The sequence below is a fragment of the Homo sapiens genome, chromosome 11 (assembly GCF_000001405.40).
Source record: "Homo sapiens chromosome 11, GRCh38.p14 Primary Assembly".
Lineage (NCBI taxonomy): Eukaryota > Metazoa > Chordata > Mammalia > Primates > Hominidae > Homo > Homo sapiens.
Genome location: NC_000011.10, coordinates 46,222,926 through 46,245,316, shown reverse-complemented (window position 1 = coordinate 46,245,316; position 22,391 = coordinate 46,222,926). Strand labels below are relative to the sequence as shown.

Here is a 22,391-nt window from a genome sequence, read left to right as displayed (position 1 = left end):
CACGAGGTCAGGAGATCGAGGCCATCCTGGCTAACATGGTGAAACCCTGTCTCTACTAAAAATACAAAAAATTAGCCAGGCGTGGTGGTGGGTGCCTGTAGTCCCAGCTACTTGGGAGGCTGAGGCAGAAGAATGGCATGAACCCGGGAGGTGGAGCTTGCAGTGAGCCGAGATCGTGCCACTGCATTCCAGCCTGGGTGACAGAGCGAGACTCCATCTCAAAAATAAATAAATAAATAAATAAATAAATAAATAAATAAATAAATAAATAATGATTCTGCTTATTTTACAGATGAAGAAACTAAAAGCTTCAGATCATAAAATTAGTAACAGCAAAACCAGTACCTGAACCCTGGCTGACTGGATTCTCATGCTCCCCTATGCCAGTACCCTGTGTGCCCATCTCCCAGGTAGCCTTCATCCAGGCCCTGACATTTGATCTTGGCCTTGAAAGAGGGGTAAGATTTGGAGAAACTGTGGGTCCTCCTTGGATAGGGCAGCCATGTAGGCTCTGGAGACAGGCTAGTGGAGTTTGCATCCTGGCTCTGTGATCTTAGGCAAGTTACTTAACCTCTCTGTGCCTCATTTTTCTCCTTTAAAATGTAAACAACATCCACCTTCTGTGGTGTCATAAGGAGTAAGAACATGTAAAGTGCTTAGAATAATGCCTGAGACATTGACAATCACTCAATATGTTAGGTAGTATTACCTCCAGAGTTTTTGTTTGTTTTTGAGACAGGGTCTCACTGTCACCCAGGCTGGAGTGCAGTGGCACCATCATAACTCACTGCAGCCTCAACCTCCCGGGCTCAAGCAATCCTCCCACCTCGCCTCCCCGGTAGTTGGGACTACAGGCACGCGCCACTATGCCCAGCTAATTTTTGTGTTTTTAGTAGAGATGGGTTTTACCATGTTGCCCAGGCTGGCTGACCTCCCAAAGTGCTGGGATTACAAACATGAGCCATTGTGTCCAGCAATTACCAGAGTTTTTCACCAAATGTGGTAGACGAGACAATTTAGCATATATATATATATATATATATATATGGCTGGTCAAGTGAAGCAGTGTGAGTGGAGAAGAAAAGAAAAAAGAAAAGAAAGAAATCTGTAACTGAATGTGATCAGTTAGTTGCAAACACCACTGCACTCGGACCAGCCCATATATATATTTTTTATTTTAATAGTTTTGAATTTATTTTCAGCCTGTAGCTTTGCTAATGTTATTGCTTAGGGCAAAGCTATCTAAAAAAGGGAAACGGTTTAAAGTTAAAGAAAAAGTTAATAAAATAAAAGTCTATTAAAATATATAATAGTGGTGGAATGTGGACATGGAAGCAAACCGTGAAGGCAATATCCGAACAGCTGAAAATTTTGGAAAATAATCGGTGACGTCTCCTGCTCATAAAACCTAAAACAGATGAGCGAGGCAGAGGAGATACTGACAAAGGAGGTATCAAAATCTTGCCTCCTTTCCGCCCCGTAGCCACAATGCCTCCCTTCTTAAGAAAGTGTGTGGTGTGAGGGCCCAGACCCGCGAGGCTTGACTGTGCTTCCGAGCTGTGGATCCTGGACAGTGCTGCGGATCGGGGGCGCAGGAGAGGGACGCCGAATCCAAAGGCCCAAGTCTGGAAACCGAAGCCAACTTCCCAACTTCGCTCTGCCGGTGCGTTTGGGGAGATTTGGGCCTCTCTGATTTTTTTGGATCACTGGGTCAATCAGTCAGCCAATGCCTCGGGAGAAGTTTAATTAAGCTCAGATCGCAGGCGCGAGCTGCCAGAGGTCTCCCTGGCCGACCGGCCCCGCCCCCCGCACATCTGGTGAAAAGCTCCCCCTCCGCCCTTTGGGGCGGGGCCGCAGCCCGCGCATGCGCGTCGGCCCGGTTCCCGGCGCCCCGCAGCAGGACTCAACTCCCAGAACAGCGTTGCAAACTGTTGCATCAGACAGCAAGCAGCCGGTCGGGCTGCCAGGGTTTCTAGGAAGATAGGAAGGGTTTGAGATCCTCTGTGGTCGCCTGGGAGCTTTGGCTGTCACTCACGGTGTTTACATGCCGGTAACGCGATCCCCTAAAATATCAAGCTTGCACCCATCAGAGGAGGGCCATAGCCACAGGTGAAATTCCCTGAACGCCATTGCTCCTGTCCTCACTCCACGCCCTGACCCAGGCGGGACTAACTGAACTGGACTTCGTCTGCTTTATTAATGGCAAGGGCCCTGAAGGAATCAGCTGGGTTCGATTTCTCTTCCCAAGTACAAGAATGCCCCCTGAGGAATTTCTCACTCTGTGAAAGTGCAGAACTAATTTCCCCTGACAAGTGCTATTGCCGGTTCCCAAAAGGGTTTGGAAGGATCCCAGCAGAAATGTTCAGTGGTTTCCAAATCTCTTTACCCCAGCAGCTGGACACACAGACCCTGAGCTAGGAGCCCCTTTGGGCATCCAGAACTTCTTGGTGGGTGGACACACGTCCTTGACACATAGGTCTTCCTTTTGTCGTATCTCAGGCCCCTTGTTATGAAGACTTTGGATATTAGCCAGAAAATGCACAACCACAAATTCATGCACACATATATATTGAGCAGCACACATATACAATGAGTTCTCTGGGTCCAAATGGCTTTAGCAACTCAGGTCAGTGGAAAAGTCGTTCTTACGTTCCCTCACTCTTCCGGCCTCTGGGCCATTCTTCCTCAAAGAGAGAAAATAATGCTGTATCTAGAAGGGATAGGACAAGCTAAGCTGGTGGGTGGGATATTCAAGAAGAATGAGAGCACTGATTTGGAATCTAGTTTTTAAAGGGATTTTCAAGGACATAATCTGAATCCCATGGCTCAATCCTCTTTTTTTTTTTTTTTTTTGGAATGGGTCAAGACCAAGATCATTCAGTATTAATGGATTTTCCAGAAAGACAAAAACTGGCAATTTACCTTGAGCATTCTGCATCTTTAGGGTGTTGATGGTGAAAGTCTATTCCCTGTGAATAATTCTGAGAACTAAAACAGGCCTAATGTCTTCCTTCCCCTTCATTATTATCAATCACTCGATCCCAAGATTAAAAAAAAAAAGACCCAAAAGACTCATAAGCATTATTCGATGCGTCCCTTGCCAGACAGTCACTGTTGTTTGTTTTAGCTAGCATTTTCCTGTGAACAGTGGAGTATTATGTCACTATGGGATTCTCATTGTAATAGATGTTTCATAAATATGACCTGAATTATTTCAGTTGTCACAGTGTTCTTATGAATGGAAGGAAAGCCAACTAGGAAAGGATGGGACGGCATTGGCAGGTCCTGGAGCTAGAACATTCCCAAGTTCTGCTCCTGAAGGTCCATCAGGATCCAAACCTGCCAAATGGGTACCCCCAAGGTGGGGTTCTAAAGTCAGCAGGTATGGTCTCAGGAAGCTGCCCGGAGCTGATAGAATGTCAGATGTGTCTGGTCAGGCATGGTGGCTCATGCCTGTAATCCCAGCACTTGGGAGGTGGGCGGATCATCTAAGGTCGGGAGTTCGAGACCAGCCTGACCAAAATGAAGAAACCCTGTCTCTACTAAAAATGCAAAATTAGCCGGGTGTGGTGGTGCATGCCTGTAATCCCAGCTACTCGGGAGGCTGAGGCAGGAGAATCCCTTGAACCCAGGAGGCTGAGGTTGCGGTGAGCTGAGATGGTGCCACTGCACTCCAGCCTGGGCAACAAGAGTGAAATTCCGTTTCAAAAAAAAAAAAAAAAAAAAGTGTCTGAGTAGTTGTTCCCACATGGAGAAGCAAGTCAGTTACTATGGTGGAGCCAAACCTGAAAGTTGGAGCCATGAAGAAAGGAGCCAGGTGGAGGTGGGAACAGGAGAAGGTGAGCCCATGAGCTCATGCTAGGTTCTCTGCTGTCCTCCCAGCACCTACATATAATGGGCTCTCAATACATGTCTGTGGAGTGAAGGTACTGAAAGAAGGAGGGAAGAAGAAGCAGACTGAGGAAAGGGCAAAGAAGTCCAATAATTTTGCAGGAGGCCACCTGGGATGGCCAGGGTATTGGGTGAAGAGGGGGAATTCTTCCAGTTTAAAGGCACAGGGCAATACAGTCAGAACTATTAAGTGACAAGTCCCATGACTTTGTTTTCCTCGTTTGGAAAAACCTCCAGTTGGTGGTTCCAGAGCTGAGCAGTCATTCTACTTCACCAAGCCTAGTGACATCATCACCTATTGCCTCACCTTGATTGAATTTCCAGAGCAAATTTCTGGAAAAGGGAGGGGTCTGAGGAGTGACTGAGATCTAGAGGACAGGAATATCACCCCAGAAGCAACACTTCAAAACCATAAGCAGGCCGGGCGTGGTGGCTGATGCCTGTAATCCCAGCACTTTGGGAAGCTGACGTGGGCGGATCACCTGAGGTCAGGAGTTCGAGACCAGACTGGCCAACATGGTGAAACCCCATCTTTTCTAGAAATACAAAAATTAGCCGGGTGTGGTGGCAGGTGCCTGTAATCCCACCTATTCGAGAGGCTGAGGCAGGAGAATCACTTGAACCCAGGAGGCAGAGGTTGCAGTGAGTTAAGATTGTGCCATTACACTCCAGCCTGGGCTACAAGAGTGAGACTCCGTCTCAAAAAATAAATAATAATAATAATAATAAATAAAACCATAAGCAACGTGGTAGCCCAGATGGTCAGATGATGCAAGCATGTACTAAAAGGGTGATTTGTTTTACACATTCATTGGGCACTCACAGATTCTAGACACTATACCAAGCCCAGACCCAGACAAAGCTTCTGCCCTAAGGGCTTATGATCTAAATTCCTTGTGGAAAGTCTGTTTTTGAAATGTTTAAGGCATCTCATTTAATCCTCATTTCCATTTCAAGTCATGTACCTCCTTCCTGAGAAACCCACCACATTTTAAGTTTGTAGCTGGCTTTCCTTCTGTTTTTGCTATTTATGTGCCAATTTAAAGGGTGGGGAGAGCCACATTAATTTTAAAATAAAACACAAATAGCAAAATGAGGCTTGGTTAAAGGAAAAACCACAAAAGGGATTTTTTTTTTCTTTCTCCCATACTTTTCAGATTTTCCTAGAACCACCTTTATTTTCTCAGAGCCCAGACATAGAAAGTGAGTGGGCCTCTCCGGATGCTCTTCCAAGCTAAAGCCAAAAGCCTCATTCTTATTCTCTCCTTGCACCTTTAGGTTTTGTTTTTCTGTTCAACATCTGAGTCCCACATTGGGGACTCAAGCTGGTCAAGCCTCCCATGACATGTGGTATTTCTATGCACTCTCAGCGTAGATTTTGATTTGTTTTTCATGATTTGCATCTTACCTCTTCTGTTCAGTTGTTTCAGCGTGTACATTCTGGGTGATGAGAACATAGCTTTAAAGTCAGACACTCCTGGGAAGAATCCCAGCTTTGCCACTTACCAGCCTTGTGACCTCATCCATCAAACAGCAATCATCATCCACACCTCTTAGGGCTGTAGTGAGGATTAATGAGTCAAAGCACATAAAGGGCTCAGCGCAAAAGAAGCACTCTGTACTCGGTAGCTATTATGAAAATAGATCCTTTCATCTGTGTGCGCCTACTTAACCAACCCTCCCCATACCCACCGTATTTTGGAGAAGAGAAAAATTAGTCATTTATTCCAAGTAGATGATGTATCCCTATTTTAAATCACCAGAGGGCGAGAAGGGGAAGCAAGGCTGAATTTGACTTGCAGACATCTAGGCCTTTTAATGGGATGGGAATCAGTGTCCGCGCCTCTCAGCAGATGACAAAACCCGCTGTGCAGGGACTGGGGAAGTCTTGAAGGCCAGTGGTGGGATGGCAGGAGCACAGAAGATGGGGAAAAGTGGTCAGGGAAAGCAGGTCCAGGGCTGAAATGGTGGGCCTGAGGGATGGCAGCCACCAGGAAGGGAAGCTTCTTGCTTCGGGGTTCTGAGTCCAGGCGTCTGCAGGCCGACGTCAGCCTGCCCCGAGGTCCCAGTGACAGTGAGATCCAAGGCGTGTGCGGCAGCGCCCTCTGCCGGCCGCGCGGGGCAGGCGCCCAGCCCAGAGCCCGGCCCCGCAGTTCTGCAATGGGGACTCCAGTTCCCTCCGGCTGCCTCCGCCCCCGCTCCATCCCGACTGAGGACCGCGGACCCGTCCCGGAGTAGATTCCCGGAGACGCCTCCCTATCCTACGCCTGCGGGCTGAGCGGGGACGATGCTCAGACACACCCAATTCACCAGCGGATCGGAGGCCGCAGGAACCCATCCAAACCCCGCAGGGGCTGCGCCTCTGGGACCCAGGGCCAGACCCTGCTGGGCTGTCGGAAGTGGCATCGCCTATGGCCAAGACCGCGGGTTCTGCGTACAGAAAGGAGCCCTGGGTTCGCTTTCTGTCTCGTCCATTTTCCAGCTAGGTGACCTTGGGCAAGGTATTATACTTAAATTTCCATGTGCCTTAGTTGCCTCATCTTTAAGATGGACAGAAGGATCCCGTCCTTAGTGGGTTGACATGAGGATGGCATGGGGTCCGACAGCCGCGGTTGGAATTCTGGCACTGACATCAGCTAGCTGTGTGCCCTGGGGCAAGTTACTTAACCTCTCTGTGCCCGGGTTTCCTGCAAAATAGGGATGATAATGGTACTTACCTCCGAGGGTTGTTGCCTGCAAAGCGCTTAACACAGCACCTGGCACAGAGTAAGCGCTCAATAAATGGTGGCTACTATGGCTGTGGTCGTTATTATTGTTCCTAAAGGCGCTGAGCACACGAGTGGAGCTCTAGCTGGCAGCTATTATTAGTCTGTTTCTTAGGTCCAGCTATTTCTTTCCGGGCATTGTTCAAATCTTTTACCAAGAGCTCGCGTCCTTATCAGTAACCGAAGGACAGCCGGCCTTCCAGAGTTTGGAATGAACGAGGTTCCCCCGGAGGAGGGCCAAGGACGCGGCCGCGGGCTGCCGGGACCGGGACCTCCCGGAGGAAGCCCGCGCCGCGCCGCCTCCGCCCGGGCCTCCAAGAGCGCGTCAGAGCCGCAGTGACGTCGCCGGGCCTGCACGTGCGGGGAGCCTGGAGGGGGCCGGGAGGGCAGGAGGTCGGGCCGCTGGCAAGAGGCGCCTCGGGCCGCGCTGGGACCCTGCCCTCCGAGGCGGCCAGAAAAGCTGCGGGAAGGCCCGGCCTGGGTCCGCTGTTCCGCGCCTGCTCGCGCGGGGTGCGCTCGGGGCGCCGCCTGCCTGCAGCCCCGCGGGGAGGCCGGAGATGCCGACGCCCGCTCCGGGCCCCGGGGCCCGCTCAACCTGGCCGGGGGAGCTGAATTCCCGGCAGCCATGCGGCGTCGGCGCGGTCCTTTGCGCCCAGTCCCACCCGCCCGGATCCCACTCGTCGCCGTCCCCCAGCGACTCCCTCCGTTTCTTCCCCCTCTGTCCTCCGTCCGGACCAGCTCGTTTGCTGTCAGCGGTGGAGAGCCACTCTCAAGAGGCACCTCCCACCTCCGGCTCCCCGCCTGCAGCCCGGGCGCGCCCATCCTATCGCCCTCCCGACAGCTCCACGCGGTTGGCCCCGCGCGCACCGCCACTCGCCGCGTGTTGACCCGATTATTGTCTATCGCAGAGATGGCGCGACCGCCCAGCCCCTCGTCCCGATGCCTCGCCTTCCCTCCTGAACACTTCTCCAGGCACTCTGCACTCCATCCTCATTCCCACTTCATCCAGACCTCCCCGGCGCCCCGCCCCCCTTGGCTGTTGACACATTCCCCTCAAAGGTCTCCCCTGCATGCCTGTCTTCTTCAAATCCATCCTCCTCGCTCTGCCAGAACAGCCACCTGCAACCCCTGTTTTGCCATGCCTCTCGGCTTGGGGCCGCCCGGTCTTCATGGATGCCCTAGTCTGCCATTTTCTACACCACGCCTCCCGAGCTAGGCTCGGAGGCTGGAGCCCGCTGGGGCCACACTCTTGAAGGTCCTCAGGTCTTTGCTGCAGTTAGGCCCTATCCAGAGAATTTTCCCCTTCCTCCCTTCTCCCCCTCCCCCTACCGGCTTCCTCTTACTCATCCTCCAGAACTCAAGATGTGAGTCACCTTTTCAAGAACGCCCTCCCTGTTCCGCTATCTGGCCGAGTGAAGTGTCCCTGGGCCGCCTGCTGATTTTGTCATATTTAGGGGAGAGGCTTGAGCCTTCAGGATGGCCTGTGGGGTCCTGCATGGTCTGTGCACACCCCCTTCGCCTCCCCTCCCCTCAACATCAGCTCCTTTCTTCCCCTGCTCTGGCCACACAGGGGGTCTCAGTCCCTGGCCCCTACCTCACCTTCCCAGTCCAGCCTCTTAGCGCAGGCTTCTCTGCCTGAAACACCTTGCCGCCCTTCCTCTTCTACTCAATTTTCAGCTGTCATCTTAAGTAAGACTCAATTCGTCTGAGAAGCCTTCCCTGACCCACCCACCCCCAACTCAGTGGAATTCGCCTTTAATAGGTCAAAGTGCAATTCAAAAAAATTTAAAGCATACCAAAAAACTATAGCGAATAATATAATTAATCACTATTCTGTGTGCCTTCCCCTCCCCTAGCCACGTCTTTGTCAAAGCTTAACATTTGCTCTATTTTCTTCAGATCTTTTTTAAAGGACATAAAACCTCACAGATCTAGTCTTCTGAACTCATTTCTGTCCCTCCCCTATGGTAATCACTTTCTGCCTTTGAGTTTTACCATTCCTATGCATACTTTTGTATTTTTGCTACATATATTTGTGCCTGTAAGCACTTTACAGAATTGTTTGGTATGTTTTTAAACTCTGAAGAAATACCATTATACTGGGTATATAATTGTGCAACTTGCTTTTTTCACCCAGCAGGATAATCTTGAAATGTGTTCACATGGATACACGTAGTTCTAGATTATGCAATTTTCACTTCCTATTTGGGTCCCATTATATGAGTTCACCATACTTTATTTACCAATGTCCTTCTGAAGGACATTCAACTTATTTTTAATTTTTTTTCTGTTAGAAACAATATTGTGATTAGTATTTTTTATACCCATCCCCTTGTGTGAAAGTAAGTCTTCCAGTAGCCACTTGGGTGCAGAATTGCTGGATTCAAGGCAGAGGAACTGGCAGCTTTACTCAGCATGACTAAAAGTTTTTTCAAAGTGGTTGTACCATTCACAGTCTGATAGCAATATATGGAAGTTCCCATGCTTGGCATCCTCAACAACATTTGGTATTGTCAGACTTCAAAATTTTTGCCAAGCTGATGGGTGTGAAATGGCCTTTCAGTGTTTTAATTTGCAATTCCCTGTTAACAGGTGAGACTGAGCACACTTTCATTTGTTTGTTGGCCATTTCCTCATTTTTAAGTTGCTCATTGGTTTATTTGACAGTGCTTCTGTTAGATTATCTCTTACTATGAGTAGGAGTTCTTTATATATTCTGAGTACTAATCCTCTGTCAGGCTGTGGCCCATCTGGTGTCTTTTATTGCACTCAATTGCAATTTTAAACATGTATAATTATTTGATGAATGTTTGACTTTCTTATTAGATGGTAAGCACCAAGAGAAGAGGAACTATCCACTGCAACTAGTGCAGTGTCTAACACATACCAGAAACTCAATAAATACTTCTGGACTGAATTGTATTGACATTATTATTATTATTATTATTATTATTATTATTATTATTATTATATGTTTGCCTCTTCAGCTGTCACCCTCAATGTCCCACAAGGCTATCAACTCCTTGAGAGTGATATTTTATTCATCTTTGTATCTCCAACACCTATTATAACACAACACATCTGGCACATTTTATATACCCAATACTTTTTAATTAATTTCCTTTGAACTTTCTCTTCTTTCCCTCACCTTTCTCCTCATCCCATCTTCTATCTCTGAACCCAGTTATATTACCTATACAATGAATGATAAAGACCTCCTAGGGTGTTGGTGAGAATCACCCGATACAGTGGATGCGTTAAGTAGAGCAGTGCTTGGCACATAGTTGGTGCTCAATAAGCAGTGACTTTCAGTATTCCTACAACAATCATTTTGGTGACTAAGGATACACTCTGCTTAATTTTAACAGACAAAATTCTTTCAGAGAGAGAATAAAAGTGAACCTTCTAAAGATCTGGTGACCATTTTTTTCCCCGTTACTGGCATTTGACCCACAATATAAGGCTCAGTCCCAACGTGATCTCTGAAAAGCATCAAATATCATTCTTCTCCTTTTCTTTTATAAATTCCAGAAATATCAAAGGCATATGAACCATACATAGAATTCAAACCTTTAAGTAGAAACACATAAAGGCCAATTCCAAGTCTTTGGCCAGAAGTTGGAGAGCAGAAAGGAGGTCTGTCGGGGATACTAGAGGTGGGATTTAGTGGCTGCAGCCGAAGACAAAAGCAGAATTCTTACCTCTGTTTCCGACATCTGTCATTGATTGTGTGACTTTTGACCTATTTATAAAATGAAAATAATAATTCTTGCTTTTTCTAGACATTGAAATTCACTAATGAGTCATTTGAAAATGCTTTGTGACCCTCAACGTGAAAGGCAGTTTGAGTATATTTAAACATAGCTCCTCCAAGGTAGATGGGCCAGCAACATCTGTCCCTACCACGCAGGAACATGATCTCTATTCTGCCAGACAGGGAGGCCCAGGAAGGTGGATTTTGTCCGCCCAGACTTGTAAGTTACCGACAAGCAGGGGAAAAACCCAAGAGGGAAGTCCTCGTTCTGTGCACGCACCCCCTTCACCTGCGGCCTGACATTTGCAGGAATGATAAATCTCAGGGCAGTCTTATTTGATCAAGATGTAATACTAGGCAGAGGCCTGTCATCTCTAGGGTTTCAGCTCCGCGGGAGGAAAGCAGGTGGCTGCACTGGGTCTGTTGCAACGTGAGCCCACCAGAGAGAACAATTAACGCAGTGACCGCTGGCAGCCGCCTCTCCCCAGAAGGGCCGAAAGGAGCTTTGCTGAGAGATGTAACAGGAGAAGGTGGGCTGAACCCAGAAAGCCCCTCTGGAGGCTGACCTTCTCCTCAACTCAGAGACCTACAAAAGGGCCAGGAAAAGCAGTAGAGATGGCTGTTTGACAACTCCATGTCGTAGCGTCCTAGGGTTAAGCTGACCCCTACTGCTGTGGGAACCAGCAACAACACTGGAGCTGGAAGACCAAGCTTTGAAATCCAACTGTGAAACTTACTAGCTGTGCAATTTGGTCACTAACCCTCTGTGACTCAGTGCCTCAACCGTGGGTATCATAAGAACACTGACCCATCAAGTTTGCTAAGGAAGATTAAATGAGAAAAGGTAGGTGATAGTGTGCCACACAGGGAAGGGGCTCCATCATTACTTATTAAACTGATTCAAACACTAAAAACTCATTTAAGACTGAGCACAACTCCCTCCCTTAAACATTTTTTTGTCTTTTTTTTTTAAATTCTTAAAGCAATGCTTGAACATGATAAAACAAAAACAGAAACAAAAGCCACAACAGCACGAAGTGGGACACAGTGAAAAACAAACATCTCTCCCATGGGAAACCCTTGTCACCCATTTCTCTTCCCCTGGTGGCAATAAATGTTACCAGGTTCTGGTGAATCTTTCCGAAGATATTCTATGGATATACATAAAGGATCTATGTAGGTTTTAAACTGTGCCTCTTTTTATACAGCTAACATGCTATGTACATTCTTCTTATAGTTTGCATTTTACCCCCACTTAATGTAGCCTGGAACTAATTCCATGTAAATTTATATAAAGCTACATCATTCTTTTTGAGGCCGCAGGGTGTTACACTGCATTTATTTACCAGTCCTCTACTGGTGGACATTTAGGTTTTTATTAGTTTTCTGTGTCAGCTGTAACAAATTGCCATGAATTCAGTGCCTTAAAACAATATAAATCTATGATCTCACAGTTCCGCAGTTCAAAAGTCTGAAATGAGACTTGCTGGGCTAAAATCAAGTTATCTGCAGGACTGTGTTCCCTCCTGGAGACTCTAGGTGAGAATCTGTTTTCCTGTGCTTTGCAGCTTCTGGGACACCTGCATTCCTTGGCTTGTGGCCCCTTCCTCTGTCTTCAAAACCAGCAACAATAGGTTGAGTTTTTCCTCCAATCACATCACTCCAACTCTCCTTTTCTACCTCACTCTCCCACTTTTTTTTTTTTTTTTGAGATGGAATCTCACTCTGTTGCCTAGGCTGGAGTGCAGTGGTGTGATCTTGGCTCACTGCACCTCCATCTCCCAGGTTCAAGCAATTCTGCCTCAGCCTCCCAAGTGGCTGTGATTACAGGTGCCTGCCACCACACCCAGCTAATTTTTGTATTTTTAGTAGAGATGGGGTTTCACTGTGTTGGCCAGGCTGGTCTTGAACTCCTGACCTCAGATGATCTGCCCACTTCAGCCTCCCAAAGTGCTGGGATTATAGGCGTGAGCCACCTCGCCCAGCCTCTCCCTCTTCCACTTTTAAGAACCCTTGTGATTGCACTGGGCTTACCCTGATAACCCAGGATAATCTCCCTATTTTAAAGTCATCTGTTTAGCAACCATAACTCCATCTGCAACTTTAAATCCCTTTCCCATGTAACATAGCATATTCACAGGTTCTGGGGATTAGGATATGGACATTTTTGGGGGGCTATTACTGTGTCTACCAAAAGATTATTTCATATCTTTTGCTATTACAACAGAACTGATGAATATCATTATATAAACGTTGTTTCTACCTGTGAGTCTATATGAAAGATAAATTCTTAGAAGTGGACTTATCTGGGTAAAAAAAAGTGTGTTTCTTTAAAATGTTTGGTATACTGAGAGTGACACTGTAAAAAAATTTTTTTGGTAGGTAGGTATTGTCAAATTTTGCTCCAATGAAATGAGGTTGTAGCAATTTACACAACTACCACCAATATATAATACCATTTTTTTGGTTTTAATCAGTAGTCTTTATTATTTTTATTTTTTTTGTTTTTAAAATGTGCTTTATTGGAACTTTTATTTATTTTATTTTATTTATTGTATTTTGTTTTTAATCTTCTTTAAGTTCCAGGATGCATGTGCAGAATACGCAGGTTTGTTACATAGGTATACGTGTGCCATGGTGGTTTGCTGCCCCTATTAACCCGTCATCTAGGTTTTAAGCCCAGCGTGAATTAGATATTTCTCCTAATGCTCCTCCTCCCCTTGCTCCCCACCCCCCACCTTTTTTTTTTAGCAGTTTTATGTTAACAGAAAATTGATCAGAAAGTACAGAGAGTTCCTGTACACCTCCCCCTCCCCCCTATAGTTTCCTCAATTATTTACATCTTTTATTAGTGTGGTACATTTGCTATAATTGATGAACCAATGCTGATACATTGTGATTAACAGAAGTCCATAGCTTACATTAAGGCTGTTTCTCAGTGGTGTACATTCTGTGGGTTTTGACAAATGTATAAAAGGCATGTATCTACCATTACAGTATCATACAGAATAGTTTCACTGTCCTAAAAATCTCCTGTTCCAACTATTTATTCCTCCCTCTCTCCCCACTGCAACCCCTGACAATAACAGATTTTTTTTTGGGAGGGGGATGGAGTCTTGCTCTGTCACCAGGCTGGAGTACAGTGGCGCACTCCGCTCACTGCAACCTCTGCCCCCCGGGTTCAAGTGATTCTCCTGCCTTAGCCTCCCGAGTAGCTAGGACTACAGGCATGCTCCACCATGCCCAGCTAATTTTTGTATTTTTAGTAGAGACAGGGTTTCACGATGTTGGCCAGGATGGTCTCCATCTCTTGACCTCGTGATCCGCCCGCCTTGGCCTTCCAAAGTGCTGGGATTACAGGCGTGTGCTTCCGCTCCCTGCCAATAACAGATTTTTTTATTGTCTTCATACTTTTGTCTTTTCCACAATGTCATATATTTGGAATTATACAGAATATAGCTTTTTTTTTTCTAGCCGGGCGCAGTGGCTCACGCCTGTAATCCCAGCACTTTGGGAGGCCGAGGCGGGCGGATCACAAGGTCAGGATATCGAGACCATCCTGGCTAACACAGTGAAACCCCGTCTCTACTAAAAAATACAAAAAATTAGCCGGGCGCGGTGGCGGGAGCCTGTAGTCCCAGCTACTCCGGAGGCTGAGGCAGGAGAATGGCACGAACCTGGGAGGCGGAGCTTGCAGTGAGCCGAGATTGTGCCACTGCACCCCAGTCTGGGCGACAGCGAGACTCCGTCTCAAAAAAAAAAAAAAAAAAAAAAAAGATAGGCTTCTTTCACTTATCAATGTGCATTTAAGGTTACTCTTTTTGTGGCTTGTTAGTTCGTTTCTTTTTAGCACTGAATAATATTCCATTGTCTGGATGACCATAGTTTTTTAATCCAGTAACCTACTGAAAGACATCTTGGTTGTTTCCAGGATTAAGCAATGATGAATATAGCTGCTATGAACATCTCCATGCAGATTTTTGTGTGGACCTAAATTTTCAACAGTGGGGCCAGTTTTTTTTCTCTTCACTTTTCTTTTCTTTTTTCTTTTTTTTTTGAGATGGAGTCTTGCTTTGTCACCCAGGCTGGAGTGCTGTGGCACAATCTCAGCTCACTGCAACCTCTGCCTCCCGGGTTCCAGCGATTCTTCTGCCTCAGACTCCCAAGTAGCTGGGATTACAGGTGTGCACCTCCACTCCCAGCTAATTTTTGTATCTTTGGTAGAGACGGGGTTTCGCCATGTTGGCCAGATGGTCTTGAACTCCTGACCTCAAGTGATCCGCCTGCCTTGGCCTCCCAAAGTGCTGGGATTATAGGCGTAAGCCACCACGCCCAGCCCTTTTTTTCACATTTTTGAACATGCACTTTTTTAGCAGACTTGTTTTATTTTGGCCAATCTGATAGATGAAAAATGGTATCTAGTTGTTGTTTTAATAAGCATTAATTACGAATGAAGTTGGACATCTTTTCATATTTTTATTTTTATTTCTAGAAATGGTCTGTTTAGGTTTATTTTTCTTTTGGTTTGTTTTTTCTTAGGGATACATGCAGCATTTTTATATAATAAGGAAACTGAAAGTTTGTAAAAATGAGGTCATATTTTTATAATTTTTTTTCAGTTTGCTATTTGTCTTTTTTTTCCATGTAGAAATTTGAAACATTTATAAGTCAAATTTATGCATTTTTTTTTCTTTGGGGTTCTTTGTGTTTTGTCTTTCCCACTCTGAGATTTTATAAAACTCACCTGTTTATCCTAGCATTTTTATAGTTTTACTTTTTACATTTAAGTCCTTCATTCATCTGAAAGGAGCAGATTAAGGTTCCAAATACCACCTTCCCCCATGGATAACTTATCAAGGAATGTTTCGATATAATTTTCAGAATAATAAATCTTTCCTCTTACTTGAAATGCCACTTTTATTATGTACAAAATTCTGGTCAGTAATTGCATCTATTCTGGTCTTTTGTGCTGTTTTGCTTACCAAAGTTTTATATTATGTCTTAAAAAATAACAGCTTTATTAGCCGGGAGCGGAGGCTCACGCCTGTAATCCCAGCACTTTGGGAGGCCAAGACGGGCAGATCACGAGGTCAAGAAATCGAGACCATCCTGGCCAACATGGTGAAACCCCGTCTCTACTAAAAATACAAAAATTAGCTGGGCGTGGTGGCATGTGCCTGTAATCCCAGCTACTCAGGAGGCTGAGGCAGGAGAATCTCTTGAACCTGGGAGTCAGAGATTGCAGTGAGCCAAGATCGCACCACTGCGCTCCAGCCTGGCGACAGAGCGAGACTCCGTCTCAAAAAAAAAACAAAAACAAAAACAAAAAAAATACCCAGCTTTATTGGGATATAATCCACATATTATAAAATATAAAATTCACCCCTTTAAGTATACGATTCAGTGTTTTTCAGTATATTCACAAAGTTGCGTAACTATTACCACGATCTAATTTCACAACATTTTCATCATCTCATATAAAAACGCGATACCCATTAGCAGTCACTTCCCATTCCCTCCACAGCCCCTGGCACCCACGATTCTACTTTTGGTTTCTACAGATTTGCCTTTTCTGGGTATTTGGTAAAAGGAGAATCAGCCGGGCGCGGTGGCTCATGCCTGTAACCCCAGCACTTTGGGAGCACAAGGTCAGGAGATCGAGACCATCCTGGCTAACACGGTGAAAACCTGTCTCTACTAAAAAATACAAAAAATTAGCCGGGCGTCGTGGCGGGCGCCTGTGGTCCCAGCTACTCGGGAGGCTGAGGCAGGAGAATGGCGTGAACCCGGGAGGCGGAGCTTGCAGTGAGCCGAGATCGCGCCACTGCACTCCAGCCTGGGCGACAGAGCGAGACTCCGTCTCAAAAAAAAAAAAAAAAAAAAGGGGAATCATACCACACGTGGCTTTTTGTGACTGGCTTCTTTCACTTAGTGTAATATTTTCAGGGCTCATCCATGTGGTAGCATGAGTCAGTACTTCATTCCTTCTTATTGCTACTTGATATTCCATTGTATAGATCCTACCATGTTATACCACATTTTGCCTCTCCATTTATCAACTGATGGACATCGGGGTTGTTTCCACTTTTTCGCTATTATGACTCATGCTGCTGTTGAACATTAATGTACATTTTTTGTGTGGACCATATATTTTCAAATCTCTTGGAGAATATCTGTCTATCTATCTATCTACACACATACATATTTATATGTATACATATATACATATAAAATTGCTGGGTCATATAATGACTCTTTTTTTTTTTTTTTTTTTTTTTTTTGAGACGGAGTCTACCTCTGTCGCCCAGGCTGGAGTGCAGTGGTGCAATCTTGGTTCACTGCAACTTCTGCCTCCTGGGTTCAAGCGATTTTCATGCCTCAGCCTGCTGAGTAGCTGGGATTACAGCCGTGTGCCACCACACCTAGGTAATTTTTGTATTTTTAGTAGAGATGGGGTTTCACCACGTTGACCAGGCTGGTCTCGAATTCCTGACCCCAAGTGATCCGCCTGCCTCGGCCTCCTAAAAGCACTGAGATTATAGGTGTGAGCCACCACACCTATCCTCTATGTTTAACATTTTGAAGAACCAACGATTGCCAGACTGTTTTCCAAAGTAGTGCATGTTTTACATTCTCTTTTTCTTTTTTGTTTTTGAGACAAGATCTTGCTCTGTCACCCAGGCTGGAGTGGTGTGATCATGCCTCACTGCTTTGAGCCTCCCACCTCAGCCTCCTGGGTAGCTGGGACTACAGGCACCTGCCACCACGCCAGGCTATTTAAAAAATTTTTTTTGTAGAGATGGGTTTCGTTATGTTGCCCAAGGTGGTCTCAAACTCCTGGGCTCAAGCAATCTGCCTACTTCATCCTCCCAAAGTGTTGGGATTACAGGCGTGAGCCACCACGCCCTTGGCTGTTTTTCTTTTTGCCTTTTTTTTGAGACAGAGTCTCGCTCTGTTGCCCAGGCTGGAGTACAGTGGCATGATCATAGCTCACTGCAACCCCCACCTCCCAGGTTCAAGCAATTCTCGTGCCTCGGCCTCTTGAGTAGCTGGGATTACAGGCATGTATCACCATGCCTGGCTAATTTTTGTATTTTTAGTAGAGATAGGGGTTCACCATGTTGCCCAGGCTGGTCTTGAACTCATGACCTCAGGTGATCCACCCACTTCAGTGTCCCAAAGCGCTGGGATTACAGGTGTCAGCCACTGTGCCCCTGGCTGTTTTACATTCTTAACAGCAATGCATGAGGGTTTCAGTTTCTCCATATCCTCCCCAACACTTGGGAATGTTTGTCCCTTTGATTCTAGCCTCCTTATAGGTGTGAAGTGGTATCTCATTGTAGTTTTGATGGGTATTTTCTAATGACTAATGATGTGGAGCATTTTTTTCCTGTGCTTATTGCCATTTGTATACCTTACTTAGACAAAAGTCTATTCAAACTCTTTGCCCATTTTAAAAGTGGGTTGTCTTTTTGTGGCTAAATTATAAGAGTTCTTTTTATATTCTGAATAGTAGCTCCTTATCAGATATAGGACTTGGAAATATTTTCTCCCATTTTATGAGTATGTGTTTTCACTTTCTTGATGGTATCCTTTGAGGCACAAGAGTTTTTAACTTTGATGAAATTCAATTTATCTATTTTTTTTTGTTGTTTATGGTTTTGGTGTCATATCTAAGAAACTACAGTATGTTTCAATGTTCAGTAGGTAGTCTATCCTCACTGTCTTTCCCTCCCCACCCCCATATTTTTTTCCTGGCTATTCTTGCATGCTTATTTTTCCATGTGAACTTTAGAATCAGCCTATCTGGTTCCAAAAGCAATTCGTTTAGCATGTTTTAAAAATTGGAATCATTGTAAATACCATGATTTGTGAAACCGACATCTTTACAATAGTACATCCTCCTATTCAGAAGCAGGATATGTCTTTCCATTTATTCGGACTATCAAGTCCCTCAGCAGCATTCAAAGGCATTCCTCTTCCTTTTTTTTTTTTTTGGAGACAGGGTCTTGCTCTGTCACCCAGGCTGAAGTGCAGTGTCGCGATCATAGCTCACTGCAGCCTCTAACTCCTGGGCTCAAGCAATCCTCCTGCTAAGACACTCCTCTTATACATTTAGCACATCTTTTTTTTTTTTTTTTTTGAGATGGAGTTTCGCTCTGTCGCCCAGGCTGGAGTGCAGTGGCGTGATCTTTGCTCACTGCAACCTCCACCTCCTGGGTTAAAGCGATTGATTCTCCTGCCTCAGCCTCCCCAGTAGCTGGGATTACAGGCACCCACCACCATGTCCAGCTAATTTTCGTGTTTTTAGGAGGAATGGGGTTTCACCATGTTGGTCAGGCTGGTCTCGAACTCCTGACCTCAGGTGATCTACCTGCCTCGGCCTCCCAAAGTGCTGGGATTACAGGCGTGAGCCACTGTGCCCGGCCCATTTAGCACATTTGTATTGGTTGTGTTTTGTGTCATCACTCATATGAATGGAAACTTTTAAAATATTTCCTAACTGGTTGATTGCATGTAAGAAAGGTACTAACTTTTGTATATCAGTCATATAAACAGTCATCTTATTTTATTGATAATTGACATCTAATTATTTCATTGTGAATTCCTGAATTACCTTGAGTTAGAGGTTTACAGTCATATCATCTAAAGATGATAATTTGTCTTTCTCCTTTCCTGTTTTCCTACATCTTGCTTCTTTCGGTTGTCTCACTGTATAGTATAGGCCAGCACTTCCAGAATAATGTTACGTTTAACATTGTTAGTGGTGTGAGTAGAAATTCTCATTTTGCTCTTGACTCTGGGAAATGCTTCCAGCATTTACAGATTTACTGAGCCTTTTTTTCTATGGTGCTCTCTTGTCAGGTTACATACAGCGTTGTGCTGGCTTCATAAAAAGAATTTGGAAATTTTCCTGCTTTCTCTTTGCTCTGGAACAATTTAAATAGCAGGTAGAATTCACCCATGAAACCATCTGGACCTGACACTTTTTTTGGGTATTGCTCTTTGAAAATATTCTCAATTTATTCTACAGTATTTGGTAGGTTTCTTTTTTGGTGCGTGTGTTTTAAAAAACTCTTTTGGAATTAGTTGTAATATTTTCTATTTCCCTAGAAAATCATCTATTCTATCCAGAGTTTTAAACATTTTTGCCTAGGTGGATCGAGGTAAATGTTTATGATTCTATTAATTAGATTGGTGTGTATGGTTATTTCCCAACTGTCATTTCTTGTGTATTTGATCTTTAGAAAGCTGCTAGTGATAGGGGTGGGAAAGGAGTCTTCTGCTGCAGGACAGCCTGTTTCTATGACCAGTCTGAGACTGAGGGCTCTGGATCACAAAATCCCCCAATGCCCAGCCAGTTTGGTTTCGTTTGCGATGATGGAAGACAAACATTTCTCCTCTACCTGGCTTTAGCTGTGATTGAGTGTTTGCCATGTGCCAAGCTCTTAGCTTTTACATTCTCGTTTAATTCTCACAGTCCCATGAGATAGGGAGTACCGCATTATCCACAGTTTACTGGCAGGAAACAGAGACTCAAAGAGTTACAATACTCCTCTGAAGTCACATAGCTAGTAGCTGGCCAGGGTGGGATTAAATACACGGCCCATTCTGCACTTACCTTTACCTCGCCTGGTGTCAGCAACATGGAAACATCCACAGTTGATGACTTTTTTTTCCTTTTAATTGAGATGGAGTCTCGATCTGTCGCCCAGGCTGGAGTGCAATGGTGTGATATTGGCTCACTGCAACCTCCACCTCCCAGGTTCAAGCGATTCTCCTGCCTCAGCCTCCCAAGTAGTTGGGACTACAGATGCGCGCCACCACGCCCAGCTAATTTTTTTGTATTTTTAGTAGAGACAGGGTTTTGCCATATTGGCCAGGCTGTTCTCAAACTCCTGACCTCAGGTGATCTGCCTGCCTTGGCCTCCCAGAATGCTGGGATTACAGGCGTGAGCCACCATGCTGGGCCCACGGTCGGTGACTTCTAACTCAGGCCCATGTTTCTCGGATCTATAAGGTGCCTCACGGTGTGACCTCCCCACTCTTTCCTGTACATTTCTTAGATATTGTTTTGAGGCTTGCTCTGTTCCTGACATTGTGCAAGGTACTCGGAAAACGGCTGTGAAGTGGAGACCACGGACCTCGCTCTCAGACATGGTGTTTATCATCCTGTAGGATGATCATTTAAGAAGCAGAACAATAATTTTTTTTTCTTTGAGGCAGGGTCTCACTGCGTCACCCAGGCTGGAGTGCAGTGGTGCAATCTTCCCTCACTGCACCACGCCCGGCCAATAATTTTTTTAAAAAAACAAACCATCAAGCCAGGCATACTGGCCCATGCCTATAATTCCAGCACTTTGGGAGGCCGAGGTGGGCAGATTGCTTGAGCTCAGGAGTTCCAGACCAGGCTGGGCAACACGGCGTGACCCCATCTCTACCAAAAATACAAAAATTAGCTGGGCGTGGTGGTGCATGCCTATAGTCACAGCTACTCAGGAGGCTGAGGTAAGAGGATCACTTGAGCCTGGGAGGTCGAGGCTGCCATGGGCTGAGATAGCACCACTGCACTCCAGCCTGGGTGACACAGCAAGATCCTGTCTCAAACAACAACAAAAAGGCATCAGATCACAGTGCCTTAAGGTACAGTTGGTTTTTTTTTTTTTTTTTTTGAGACAGAGTTTCTCTCTTGTTGCCCAGGCTGGAGTGCAATGGCGCGATCTCGGCTCACTGCAACCTCCGCCTCCTGGGTTCAATTGATTCTCCTGCCTCAGCCTCCTGAGTACCTGGGATTACAGGCATGCACCACCACCCCGGCTAATTTTGTATTTTTAGTAAAGACGGGGTTTCTCCATGTTGGTCAGGCTGGTCTTGAACTCCCGACCTCAGGTGATCCACCCGCCTCAGCCTCCCAAAGTGCTGGGATTACAGGCGTGAGCCACTGCGCCCGGCTTAAGGTACAGTTTTTGAGGGAGCCCAGGACTAGCTTGAATCACACACATCTGACTCTTAATTGCTTTATGTCTGGGACACGCCTCTTCATTTCTGAGAGCCTTTGTTCCCACATCTGCAAAATGTGGATAACACCACACGTTTTTTTTTCCCACTTGGTAGGGATGCCTCTTACAATTGATGGTGTCTCCCAACGATATCTGGCAGTGTTTTTCTCTTTCCTATTGTTGAAGAAAACAGTGGTATGTCCCATTGATGGCCTTAGGTTGGATGACATATGGTAATAATCACGTGGTGGTTATGAGGACCAAATGAGATAATGTAAGGTGAAAAGCCCTATGCAAATTCAGGTGAAACAGTGCGAATTCAGGTGAAACAAGCATTGGCCCAGATTCTAAACTAAAGTCTGTCATTGCTACTTTGTTGATGACCTTAAGCAAGTTACCCCCGGTGTGTGGTCCCCAAATTTCCTTCTCTGGCCTTCCTTCTCAGCAAAACGAGAGATTTATTTAATTCATTAATTCAGCAAACACCTACTAAGCACATTTTCTGGGCCAGGCACAGTGGCCCTGGGGATGTAAGGACGTGAGACAGGGTGGAAGTGCGTTGTTCAGCAGGATGCAGACAGGGGACAAAGTTCTTCCTGTGAGCCTGCTTCAGTTAAGGTAGAGACTGAAAGCTGATGTCAAAGGTCTCCTCCAGCTTTAAATTCTGTTATTCTGGGACTAGGAGGCGGGACAGACAGGGCAAGCATGTTTGGGGAGGCCGTATGGTATAAGGGTTAATGTAGTGGTCCTGGTGTTGGACAGCCTTGGGCCAGCTCTGTCGCTTTTAAGCTGTGTGACCCTAGGCCAATGACTTAACCTTTCTGATCCTCTGGAGCCTTATCTGTAAAATAGGAGTGACAACAGTCTCCTCTCATAGGGTTCTAGTGAGTGCTGAAAGAGATACAATGTGTATAGTTCTTAGCTTAGTGCCTGGTACATAATAAGCAATGAATGAATGATAGGTAGCTTCCCTGCTTCCTT

At 45.6% G+C, this 22,391-nt stretch overlaps 1 protein-coding gene across 1 annotated transcript, besides 9 other annotated features; it reads right to left on the bottom strand.

Annotated features, from left to right (window-relative positions):
* Window positions 1,024-1,957: an enhancer, noted in NCBI's record as "NANOG-H3K27ac-H3K4me1 hESC enhancer chr11:46264911-46265844 (GRCh37/hg19 assembly coordinates)". NCBI's record gives its function as "activates a minimal SCP1, AML or CMV promoter by ChIP-STARR-seq in naive and primed H9 embryonic stem cells {active_cell/tissue: H9 hESC(naive and primed)}" and the evidence as "EXISTENCE:reporter gene assay evidence [ECO:0000049][PMID:30033119]".
* Window positions 1,024-2,891: a biological region, named in NCBI's record as "NANOG-H3K27ac-H3K4me1 hESC enhancers GRCh37_chr11:46263977-46264910 and GRCh37_chr11:46264911-46265844". NCBI's record gives its function as "regulatory_interactions: MDK".
* Window positions 1,389-2,271: a transcriptional cis regulatory region, noted in NCBI's record as "candidate enhancer chr11.2128 targeted for multiplex CRISPR interference". NCBI's record gives its function as "positively regulates MDK gene expression in K562 cells {active_cell/tissue: K562}" and the evidence as "EXISTENCE:mutant phenotype evidence [ECO:0000015][PMID:30612741]".
* Window positions 1,736-1,945: a silencer, noted in NCBI's record as "silent region_3300". NCBI's record gives its function as "represses an Ori minimal core promoter by ATAC-STARR-seq in GM12878 lymphoblastoid cells {active_cell/tissue: GM12878}" and the evidence as "EXISTENCE:reporter gene assay evidence [ECO:0000049][PMID:35858748]".
* Window positions 1,958-2,891: an enhancer, noted in NCBI's record as "NANOG-H3K27ac-H3K4me1 hESC enhancer chr11:46263977-46264910 (GRCh37/hg19 assembly coordinates)". NCBI's record gives its function as "activates a minimal SCP1, AML or CMV promoter by ChIP-STARR-seq in naive and primed H9 embryonic stem cells {active_cell/tissue: H9 hESC(naive and primed)}" and the evidence as "EXISTENCE:reporter gene assay evidence [ECO:0000049][PMID:30033119]".
* Window positions 5,588-7,928, bottom strand: LOC124902669 (translation initiation factor IF-2-like). The gene has a single exon (XM_047427965.1). The coding sequence runs from the start codon at window positions 7,476-7,478 to the stop codon at window positions 6,768-6,770; it is 711 nt and encodes a 236-aa protein (XP_047283921.1). The 5' UTR covers window positions 7,479-7,928; the 3' UTR covers window positions 5,588-6,767.
* Window positions 5,913-6,122: a silencer, noted in NCBI's record as "silent region_3299". NCBI's record gives its function as "represses an Ori minimal core promoter by ATAC-STARR-seq in GM12878 lymphoblastoid cells {active_cell/tissue: GM12878}" and the evidence as "EXISTENCE:reporter gene assay evidence [ECO:0000049][PMID:35858748]".
* Window positions 6,949-7,268: a silencer, noted in NCBI's record as "silent region_3298". NCBI's record gives its function as "represses an Ori minimal core promoter by ATAC-STARR-seq in GM12878 lymphoblastoid cells {active_cell/tissue: GM12878}" and the evidence as "EXISTENCE:reporter gene assay evidence [ECO:0000049][PMID:35858748]".
* Window positions 7,379-7,428: a silencer, noted in NCBI's record as "silent region_3297". NCBI's record gives its function as "represses an Ori minimal core promoter by ATAC-STARR-seq in GM12878 lymphoblastoid cells {active_cell/tissue: GM12878}" and the evidence as "EXISTENCE:reporter gene assay evidence [ECO:0000049][PMID:35858748]".
* Window positions 8,014-8,063: an enhancer, noted in NCBI's record as "active region_4675". NCBI's record gives its function as "activates an Ori minimal core promoter by ATAC-STARR-seq in GM12878 lymphoblastoid cells {active_cell/tissue: GM12878}" and the evidence as "EXISTENCE:reporter gene assay evidence [ECO:0000049][PMID:35858748]".